This window comes from Homo sapiens, chromosome 22 (assembly GCF_000001405.40).
Source record: "Homo sapiens chromosome 22, GRCh38.p14 Primary Assembly".
Taxonomy (NCBI): Eukaryota; Metazoa; Chordata; class Mammalia; order Primates; family Hominidae; genus Homo; species Homo sapiens.
The window spans coordinates 19,533,784-19,545,082 of record NC_000022.11 but is presented as its reverse complement, the minus strand read 5'-3'; the positions used below and the strand labels follow the sequence as shown (position 1 = coordinate 19,545,082).

General features: G+C 43.7%; 2 annotated features.

Moving 5' to 3' along the window:
- Positions 270–769: an enhancer, noted in NCBI's record as "H3K4me1 hESC enhancer chr22:19531837-19532336 (GRCh37/hg19 assembly coordinates)". NCBI's record gives its function as "activates a minimal SCP1, AML or CMV promoter by ChIP-STARR-seq in primed H9 embryonic stem cells {active_cell/tissue: H9 hESC(primed)}" and the evidence as "EXISTENCE:reporter gene assay evidence [ECO:0000049][PMID:30033119]".
- Positions 6,411–6,611: a silencer, noted in NCBI's record as "peak4453 fragment used in MPRA reporter construct". NCBI's record gives its function as "represses an SCP1 promoter by STARR-seq MPRAs in K562 erythroleukemia cells {active_cell/tissue: K562}" and the evidence as "EXISTENCE:reporter gene assay evidence [ECO:0000049][PMID:32103011]".

The following is an 11,299-nucleotide window of genomic DNA, read 5'->3' as shown; positions in this document are numbered from 1 at the left end:
GTGCCCGGCCGTGACTATTGTTCAACAGCCGCTTCTGGGAAACTTTGCAGCAATCTAGGCTCTAGGCTTTAGTCCTGCAAACTCTCTTCCAGGGAACTGGCTGGCCTCCCGGCGCTGCACCCCATCTGACCCTCCCTGGGGTTCTGCTGTTGCCCCCGCTCCCATGCTGGTACTTTTTCCTGCTTTTAGCCAGGTCTCCCGTTTCCCTTCACCCTGGTGAACTCCTGTTTGTTTGTCTAAACCCATGTAAGTGGCAGCTACTCTTCCCGACCTCTTAGCTTGCCAGGTAGGTGGCTGTGTCCCCTCTGTCCCCAGCCCTTCTCCATCCCCTGTCACTTCAGTCTGTGGGGCCTGTCCCCGCCACCCCAGGCTTGGTCCACCTGCAGGTGGAATGAGAACGGGTGAGCCCACGGTCTGCAGCAGCGCCTTCTGCACTGTGGACATTCCTTCCACCAGCGTGTGCTACAGGGGCCAGGCCAGCCAAGGCCAGTCACAGGGCAGGACATCCCCACTTGTGCCTTTTCCGTAAAAGTGTGAAGAGAAAGGAGTGTCTGAAGGGGTCCAATGAGGAGAGCCAAGGGCTAGATGTGTATGCGTCTGCATGCCCACGCACACTCCAGGCCCTGCCAGCCCCAGAGGGGTGTGGGTGGGCAGAGAGGCACTGCATATCCTCCAGGGTGCCTGGGCTGCCAAGAGCAGCCCCGGGAAGGGCTGCAGGCCCTGGGAGAGTGTCCCCATGCCCTCTGTGTGGTATGGTCTGGTCCTGGATGTCCAGCTCTGGCTCACTTCTTGTTTGGACAAACGCCCACCCAGATCAGACCTGGGTGCCAAGTCCTGAGGGCTTGACAAAGGCAGGGTGAGAGCCAGATAGGATCTAAGGACTGGCTCCTGGGAACAGTGTGGGTGCCCGCCCTGTGTTTACACCAGCTTCCTGCTCCTGGGCTCTCCGTCTGGCAAGCTGGGTGCGGCCACAGTCTGAGAGGGCAGGGAGGTCGGGGGCCTTCTCCCAGCCCTCCCGTTGGACTCTGCACACCAGTACACCCAGCACGTGCGCTGGGCAACAATGGCATGTGAGCTGGTAGCAGGTGATACATGCTAAGGCTCTGGTATTGGGAGAATACCCATTGGAATGGGAGGAGGGAAAAACATTAACCTCAGATATTAACTTTGGAGGGCATCCATGAAATAGGCACAGTAGTTATAAGTGCCAAACAGGCAGAAGGGAAAGCAGGGAATAAAAGACACACACGTGGCTGGGTGCGGTGGCTCACGCCTGTAACCCCAACACTTTGGGAGGCTGAGGCGAGTGGATCACTTGAGGTCAGGAGTTCAAGACCAGCTTGGCCAACATGGTGAAACCCTGTCTCTACTAAAAATACAAAAATTAACCGGGCATGGTGGCGTGTGCCTGTAGTCCCAGCTACTCAGGAGGCTGAGGCAGGAGAATTGCTTGAACCCGGGAGGCAGAGGTTGCAGTGAGCCGAAATTTTGCCACTGCACTCCAGCCTGGTGACACAGCGAGACTCCGTCTCTAAAAAAAAAAAAAAAAAAAAAAAAAAAGACACATTCTCTCTCTCACACCCAAAAGATGCAAGAAAGGAGGAATGAGTGGGAAAGCTGGGCAGAAAATGTCACAAATAAACCCAAATGGGCTGGGTGTGATGGCTCACGCCTGTAATCCCAGCACTTTGGGAGACCAAGGCAGAAGATTGCTTGAGGCAGGAGTTCAAGACCAGCCTGGGCAACATGGTGAGACCCTGTCTCTGCAAAAGAAAAAGAAGTTTGGTGTGGTGGTGTTTCACCTGTGGTCTCGGCTACTTGGGAGGCTGAGTTGGGAGGATCACTTAAGCCCAGGAGTTGGAGGCTGCAGTGAGCTATGATTGCACCACTGCACTCCAGCCTCCGTGACAGAGACCCTGACTCAAAAAAAAAAAAAGAAAAAGAAAAAGAAAAGAAAAGAAAAAGAAAGAAAAAGAAAAATTGAATGTCAAGGGAAAGAAAGATATACTGTGCAAAGACTAACCAAGAGAAAAATTGTTAATTTGGTCAATATCAGATTAAATAAAATTTAAGGCAGCAAAGTCAAACATTGATTTGTTGGAAATACAAATATAAAGCCAAGCTTCTGGAAGTATTAACAAGAAGAAGAGAGGATGCACAAATAAAAAACACCAGGACAAAACAGATTTAACATGGGTGTGTCAGCAAGTATATGAAAATATAAGAGGCTCTTATATCAACTTTATGCCAACAAGTTTGAAAACAGATGAACTGGATAATTTCTTGGAAAAACACAGGTTTCTTTTAATGGAATAAAAAAGAAATAAACCTCAATTGTCTTAACAACAATTACAGAAATGTAATCAGTAATTTAAAATATTCCCCTCCTCCCCCAAAAATGTTAAAATAACTTTGCAAGCAAATTCTGCCTTTCAAAAAACAGATAATTCCAACCTTGTACAAATTATTTCAGAGAATAGAAAAGTGAGAAACACTTTCACTTCAGTTTTATAAAACTAACGTAATCTTGACATACAAACTGAACAAGAACAGGACAAAAAAATAAAATTACTGGTAAATTTCACTCATGAACAGAGATGCAAACTGAATCCAATAATGTATAAAAAAGATAAATCGACCAGGCGCGGTGGCTCGCGCCTGTAATCCCAACACTTTGGGAGGCCGAGGCAGGCAGATCACCTGAGGTCAGGAGTTCAAGACCAGCCTGGCCAACATGGTAAAACCCCGTCTCTATTAAAAATACAGAAATTGGCTGGGCGCGGTGGCTCACGCCTGTAATCCCAGCACTTTGGGAGGCCGAGGCAGGTGGATCACCTGAGGTCAGCAGTTCAAGACCAGTCTGGCCGACATGGTAAAACCCCGTCTCTATTAAAAATACAGAAATTAGCCAGGCAGAGTGGTGGCACGCGCCTGTAATCCCAGATACTCGGAGGCTGAGGCAGGAGAATCTCTTCAACCCGAGAGGTGAAGGTTGCAGTGAACCGAGATGGCTCCAGCCTGGGCGACAGAGTGAGACTCCGTCTCAAAAAAGAAAAAAACAACATAAATCATCATGACTAAGTTGGGTTTATCGCAAAAATACAGGGTTGATATAAAATTACATAGTGTGAATCACGACATTAACAGAATAAAACAACAACAGCAACAAAATTTCAATAGATACAGAAAAGCCCTATTTTGCACTCTGTCCCACGCCCCCACCCCGGCAATCCCCATTCCACTTTCTGTCTCCATGAATTTGACTACTCCAGGCCTCTCCCTCATGTCAGTGGAATCATACGGTATTTGTCCTTTTGCGTTTGGTTTATTTCACCTGGTATCATGTCTTTAAGGTTCATCTATGTTGTGGCATGTACTGGAATCTTCTTTCTTTTTAAGGCTGAATAAAGTTCCATTGTATGGATATGCCACTTTTAGGTTTGGTTATTTGTTTATCTTGCTATTCACTGATGGATATTTGGGTTTTTCCACCTTTGGGGTGTTGTGAATGATGCTGCTATGAACACTGAGGTACAAATGTCTGTTTGAGTTCCTGGTTTCGATTCCTTTGTATCATTGAATTGCTTGTACATGCTTGTCAAAAATCAGCCAGCTATACTTGCATGGGGCTGTTTCTGGGTTCTCTAGGCTGTTTCATTGAACAAAATGTATCTATCCCTTCACCAATGCCAAACAGTCTATACAAATCTTGAAATTTGGTAGAGTGACTCTTCCCACTTTATTCTTCTTTTTTGGAATTGTTTTAACTATTTTAATTCTTTTGCTTTTTCTTATAAATTTTAGAATAATCTTGCCTATATCTATAAGAAATCTTTCTTTTTCTTTTTTTTTTTTTTTTGAGACGGAGTCTCGCTTTGTTGTCCAGGCTGGAGTGCAGTGGCGTGATCTTGGCTCACTGCAACCTCTGCCTCCCAGGTTCAAGTGATTCTCCTGCCTCAGCCTCCCCAGTAGCTGGGACTACAGGCACACACAACCACGCCCAGCTGATTTTTGTATTTTTAGTAGAGTCGGGGTTTCACCATGTTGGTCAGGCTGGTCTCAAACTCCTGACCTCATGATCCGCCCTCCTCGGCCTCCCAAAGTGCTGGGATTACAGGCATGGGCCACCGTGCCTGGCCAAGAAATCTTTCTAGAATTTTGAAAGGAATCGAACTATTCACATCTTCACCATGTTGAGTTTTCCAGTCCATTAACAGGCCATACCTCTCTATTTATTTACATCTTCTTTGATTTCTTTCACCAGGGTTTTGTAGTTTTCAGCATACAAGTCCTTATCCATACAAACCCATATTTGGTTAGATTTACACCTAGTTCATTTTTTGAGTGATTGCAAATGATATTATTTTTTATTTTGGTTTTCATGTGCTCATTGCTAGAACATAGAAATAGCAATTGATTTTTGTATGTTGATCTTGAATCCTTGTATCTTGCTAAACTCATTTGTTGGTTCTAAGGCTTTTTAAAAGATTCCATGGGAATTGATTTATGTCATCTGCAAATAGAAGCAGCTTTGGTTTTTCCTTTCTGATCTCTATCTCTTTCCTTTTCTCCCCTTTCTGTGATGTCTGGAACTTCCAGCACTATACTGAGTAAGAGTAGTGAAGGCAGAATTTTTGCCTTGTCCCTAATTTTCACAGAAAAGTATTCAGCTTTCCACTATTAAGTATAATTTTTAGCTGTAGGTTTTTTGTAGACACTGTTTATCAAGTTGAGGAAGTTTCTATTACTGGTTACCAGCAGCTTTTATCATGAATGGGTGTTGAATTTCATCAAATGCTTCTTTTGTGTCAATTAATATAATCATGTGATTTTTCTTCTTTAGCTTACATTGGTATACATTGATTGATCTTTGGAAGTTGAACCAAGCTTGTATTCTAGGAATAAATCCCACTTGATCATGGTGTATAATTATTTTTATATACGGCTGAATTTATTTTATAAAATGTTAAGAATGTTTGCATCTATATTCATGTGGAATATTGGTCTGTAGTTTCCTCTCTCTTTTTCCTTTCTTCTTCTTCTTTTTTTTTGCTTTACTTTTGGTGTCAAAGTAATATTGGTTTCATAGAATGGATTGAATTCCCTCTCTCTTTTTTTTCTTTTTCGTAAGAGAGTTTGAGATGGATTGGTGCTAGTTGTTTTTTAAACATTTGATAGGGCCGGGCGCCATGGCTGACGCCTGTAATCCCACCACTTTGGGAGGCCGAGGCGGGTGGATCACATGAAGTCAGGAGTTCGAGACCAGCCTGGCCAACATGGCGAAACCCTGTCTGTACTAAAGATACAAAAATTAGCTGGGCATGGTTGCAGACACCTGTAATCCCAGCTACTTGGGAGGCTGAGGCAGGAGAATGGCGTGAACCCGGAAGGTGGAGGTTGCAGTGAGCTGAGATTGCGCCACTGCACTCCAGCCTGGGCAACAAAGCGAGACTCCATCGAAAAAAAAAAAAAATTGGTAGAATTTACCAGTGAAGCCATCTGGTCCTAGACTTTTCTTTGTTGGATTTTTTTTTTTCTTTTTCCTAACTCAATCCGTTTGTTTGTTATATTTGCTTGTGTTTTTTGTTGTTGTTGTTTGTTTGCTTGTTTGTTTTTGAGATGGAGTTTCGCTCTTGTTGCCCAGACTGGAGTGCAATGGTGCGATCTTGACTCACTGGAACCTCCATCTCCTGGGTTCAAGTGATTCTCCTGCCTCAACCTCCCGAGTAGCTGGGATTACAAGCATCTGCCACCATGCCCGGCTAATTTTTTGTATTATATTTGCTTGTTATAGATCTATTCAGATTTTCTATTTCTTTTTGAGTCAGGTTTGGTAGTCTATGTTTCTAAGAATTGGTCAATTTCATCTAGGTTAACTAATTTGTTGGCATACAACTGTTCATAGTATTCCTCTAAAATCACTATTTTGGTCAGGTGTTGTGGCTCACATCTGTAATCCCAGCCCTTTGGGAGGCCAAGGCCAGCGGATCACCTGAGGTCAGGAGTTCGAGATCAGCCTGGCCAACATGGTGAAACCCCGTGTCTACTAAAAATACAAAATACAAAAATTAGCCCAGCATGTTGGTGGGCACCTGTAATCCCAGCTACTCGGGAGGCTGAGGCAGGAGAGTCACCTGAACCCAGGAGGTGGAGGTTGCAGTGAGCTGAGATCACACCACTGTATTCCAGCCTAGGTGACAGAGTGAGACTCCATCTCAAAAAAATAAAATAAAGTAGAATAAATAAATAAAATCACTCTTATTTGTGTAAGCCCACAAGTGATATCTCTTCTTTCATTCCGGATTTAGGTAATTTGGGTTTCCTCCCTCTTTTTAGGTCAATCTAGCTGAAGATTTGTCAATTTTGTTGAACTTTTCAAAGAACCAACTTTTGGTTTCATTGATTTTGAGGTTTCTTTACGGCCCAAGATATGGTTGGTTCTGTGGGCACTAGAAAAGAATGTGTATCCACTGCTGTTAGGTAGTGCTCTGTAAATGTGGAGTAAATCCTGTTAGTTGATGGTGTTTGAGATTCTGTCTTCTTGTTGATTTTCTGTCTACTTTTTCTATCAATTTTTGAGAGAGAAATGTTGAAGCTTCAACTACAATTGTTCATTTATCTATATCTCCATTTAGTTTTATCAGTTTTGCCTCACATATTTTGAAGCTCTGTTGTTTGGTGCCTATATATTTAGAATTGCTGTGTCTTCTTGGTGAATTGACCCTTTCATCATTATGTAATGTCTTTGTTCTAGTAATTATTCCTTCCTTCCTTCCTTCCTTCCCTCCTTCCTCCTTCCCTCCCCCCTCCACCCTCCCTCTCTCCGTCTCTCCTTCTTTTCTTCCTTTCTCTCTGCCTGCCTGCCTACTTGCTTGCTCTGTCACAGGCTGAAGTGCAGTGGTGTGATCTCAGCTCACTGCAACCTCTGCCTCTTGGCCTCCTGGGTTCAAGCGATTCTCATGCCTCAGGCACCCCAGTAGCTGGGATTACAGGTGGGCACCACCATGACTGGCTAGTTTTTGTATGTTTAGTAGAGATGGGGTTTTGCAATGTTGGCCAGGCTGGTCTCAAACTCCTGGCCTCAAGTAATCTGCCCGCCTCCACCTCCCAAAGTGCTCAGATTATAGGCATGAACCACCGCGCCTGGCCCAAGAGTGCTATTTTATTTTTATTTTTTTGTTTGTTGTGTCTCTTTTTGTTCATTTCTCTTTACTTTTCCCTGCTTTCCTGTGGCTTACTTGAATATTCCTTAAAATTACATTTTGAGGCCGGCCACCGTAGCTCACACTTGTTAATTCCAGCACTTTGGGAGGCCGAGGCGGGCGGATCACAAGGTCAGGAGATCGAGACCATCTTGGCTAACACAGTGAAATCCCATCTCTACTAAAAATACAAAAAATGAGCCGGGCATGGTGGGGGGTGCCTGTAATCCCAGCTACTTGGGAGGCTGAGGCAGGAGAATGTCATTAACCTGGGAGGCGGAGGTTGCAGTGAGCCGAGATTGCGCCACGGCACTCCAGCCTGGGCGGCAACAGAGTGAGACCCCGTCTCAAAAAAAAAAAAAAAAAATTACATTTTGAGTTATCTACAGTGTTTTTGAGTGTGTCTCTTTGTATAGCTTTTCCCCCGTGTTCTTCCTTTCTTTTATTTATTTATTCTGAAGGAATTATATATAAGCTACAACTGTTCATTAAAGAAATAATAATTTTGTAGGTAAGATGTAAATACATTTATGTTGTAAACTTTCAAACAATATAGAAAGTCGTGAAATATAGAAAAAGTACAGAATACAAAGAAAGTAAAAAATCCCTGATGTCTCCCCCAGTAAATCCCAGAGTCTCCTACACATAGGCAATAATAGATATCAATTTGGCATCTATGCCTTAGACTTTTATCTGTCCATTTGTATTCATAAAAATAAACATAAAAGTACATAGTTGGGGCTGGGCACGGTGGCTCACGCCTGTAATCCCAGCACTTTGGGAGGCTCAGGTGGGTGGATCATAAGGTCAGGAGTTCGAGACCAGCCTGGCAAACATGGTGAAACCCCATCTCTACTAAAAATACAAAAGTTAGCTGGGTGTGGTGGCACACGCCTGTAGTCCCAGCTACTCAGGAGGCCGAGGTAGAATCGCTTGAACCCGGGAGGCGGAGCTTGCAGTGAATTGAGATCCTGCCACTGCACTCCAGCTTGGCGACAGAACGAGACTCTTTCTCAAAAAAAAAAAAAAAAAAAAAAAAAAAAGTGCATAGTTTTGGCCAGGTGGCTCACACCTGTAATCCCAGCACTTTAGGAGGCCGAGGCAGAGGATTGCTTGAGCCTAAGAGTTTGAGACCAGCCTAGGCAACATGGCAAAACCCCCTCTCTACAGAAAAATACAAAAATTAGGCAGGCGTGGTGGTGCACACTTGTGGTCCCAGCTCCTTGTGAGGCTGAAGTGGGAGGATTGCTTGAACCCGGGAAGTAGAGGCTGCAGTGAGCCATGTTCATGCCACTGCACTCCAGCCTGGGTAACAGAGTGAGACTCTGTCTCACTAAAAAACAACAACAAAATGAAACAAAACAAAAAAAATTACATAGTTTCATTTTTGTGGGAATTTAAGTTTACACAGTATCATTGTATATGTAATGTGATAAACTTGAATGATTTTTTTCCCTAAATAAGATCTGTTAGAGATATGTCCAGGTCAGTGCATATAGCTCTACCTCTTTTTAAATATACTTTTTAATTTTTAATTTTTATTGTTTTTTATTTTTATTACTTATTTTTATTTTTTATTTATCTTTTTTTTGGTTTGTTTTTTGAGACGGAGTCTCGCTCTGTTGCCCAGGCTGGAGTGCAGTGGCGCAATCTTGGCTCACTGCAAGCTCCGCCTCCCAGGTTCACACCATTCTCCTGCCTCAGCCTCCCGAGTAGCTGGGACTACAGGTGCCCGCCACCACACCTGGCTAATTATTATTATTATTATTTTTTGTATTTTTAGTAGAGATGGAGTTTCACCGTGTTAGCCAGGATGGTCTCGATCTCCTGACCTCGTGATCCACCCGCCCTCGGCCTCCCAAAGTGCTGGGATTACAGGCATGAGCCACTGCACCCAGCCAAGATCAACTTTTTTAAGCTGCTACATATGAATAAGAATATGTGGTGTTTAACTCTGTCTTAGCTGTGTGTGGTGGCTCCTCCCTGAAATCCCAGCACTTTGGGAGGGTGAGGCAGGAGGATCACTTGAACCCAGAAGTTTGAGACCAGCCTGGGCAACATTGTGAGACCCCATCTCTAAAAAATAAAACATCAGCCGGGCACAGTGGCTCATGCCTATAATCCCAGCACTTTGGGAGGCTGAGGCGGGCAGATCATGAGGTAAGGAGTTTGAGACCAACCTGGCTAACACGGTGAAACCCCGTCACTACTCAAAATGCAAAAATTAGCCAGGCATGGTGGCACGCTCCTGTAATCCCAGCTTCTTGAGAGGCTGAGGTGGGAGAATTGCTTGAACCCAGGAGGCAGAAGTTGCAGTGAGCCAAGATCATGCCATTGCACTCCAGCCCGGGCAACAGAGCAAGACTCTGTCTCAATAAATAAATAAATAAGTGAAAAATAAATAAATAAATAACCTTTCTGTTCCTGGCTCGTTTCACTTAACATATTGTTCTCCAGTTCCATTTATGTTGCCATGAATGACAGGATTTCTTTTTTTTTTTTTTAATGGCTGAATAGTATTCATTGTGTATATGTACCAACTTTTCTTTATCCATTCCTCTGCTGTTGAACACCTAGGTTGATTCCATGTCTTGGCTAGTGAACAGTGCTGCGGTAAACATAAGGGTGCAGATGTGTCTTTGATAAACGGACTTCCTTCCTTTGGATTAATGCCCAGTCATGGAGTTGCTAGATGGTATGGTATTTCTATGTGCAGTTTTTATGAGGACCCTCCGTGCTGTTCTCTATTGTGGTTGGGCTAGTTTATGGTACCAGATGGGTGCACTTTCCCACCAAGAGTGTATAAGAGTTCTCTTTTCTCTGCAACCTCACCAGCATTTGTTATTTTTTTTTTCTTCTTGATACCTTTGTATAGCTTTTTAGTGGTTGCTGTAGGATAAATATATATAAAATTTATATTATATAATCAAAGTCTCCAGGTGTCAACATTTTACCAGTTGGAATGAAGTGTAAAAAACCTTATCTCCCGGTGGCCGGGCATGGTGGCTCATGCCTGTAATCCCAGCACTTTGGGAGGCCAAGGTGGGTGGATCATGAGGTCAGGAGATTGAGACCATCCTGGCTAACACGGTGAAACCCCATCTCTACTAAAAATACAAAAAAAATTAGCCAGGCTTGGTGGCAGCCGCCTGTAGTCTCAGCTACTCGGGAGGCTGAGGCAGGAGAATGGCGTGAACCCAGAGGTGGAGCTTGCAGAGAGCCGAGATTGCGCCACTGCACTCCAGCCTGGGCAACAGAGCAAGACTCCATCTCAAAAACAAACAAACAAACAAACAAACAAAAAACAAAAAAAAAAACCTTACCTCCCAGCTGCGCATGGTGGCTCATGCCTGTAATCCCAGCACTTTGGGAGACTGAGGCAGGCGGATAACCTGAGGTCAGGAGTTTGAGACTAGCCTGGCCAATGTGGTGAAACCCTGTCTCTACTAAAAATACAAAAATTAGCCAGGCCTGGTGGCGGGCGCCTGTAGTCCCAGCTACTTGGGAGGCTGAGGCAGGAGAATCACTTGAACCCGGGAGGCAGAGGTTGCAGTGAGCCGAGATCTTGCCACTGTACTCCAGCCTGGATGACAGAGCCAGACTCCATCTCAAAAACGAACAAACAAACAAACAAAAAACCTTACCTCCCTTAATGTCTTGTTACCCTCCCCCATTTATAATATAATTATATATCTTAGATATTTCCTCTACATACATTGAGAACCACTTAAGGCAGTGTAATAATTTTTGCTTCAGCCATCAAACATAATTTAGGAAACTCAAGAGGAGGAAGAAAATCTATTGTATTAATATTTACCAGTATTTTGCTTATCATGTTCTTTCTTCCTTCCTGATGTTCCAAGACTCTTATTTTACCATTTCCTTTCTGTTTAAGGAACATCCTTTAGCATTCTTTCAGCATATATTGCTGGCAATAAATTCTCTTCATTTTCCTTCACTTGAAAAAAAAATTTTCCCCCTTCATTCTTGAATAATATGCTCACTAGACATAGAATTCTGGATTGAGATTTTTTTTTTTTTCTTTCAGCACTTAAAAAATGTGCTACTTTCTTCTGGTCTCCCTGGTTTCTGAAGAG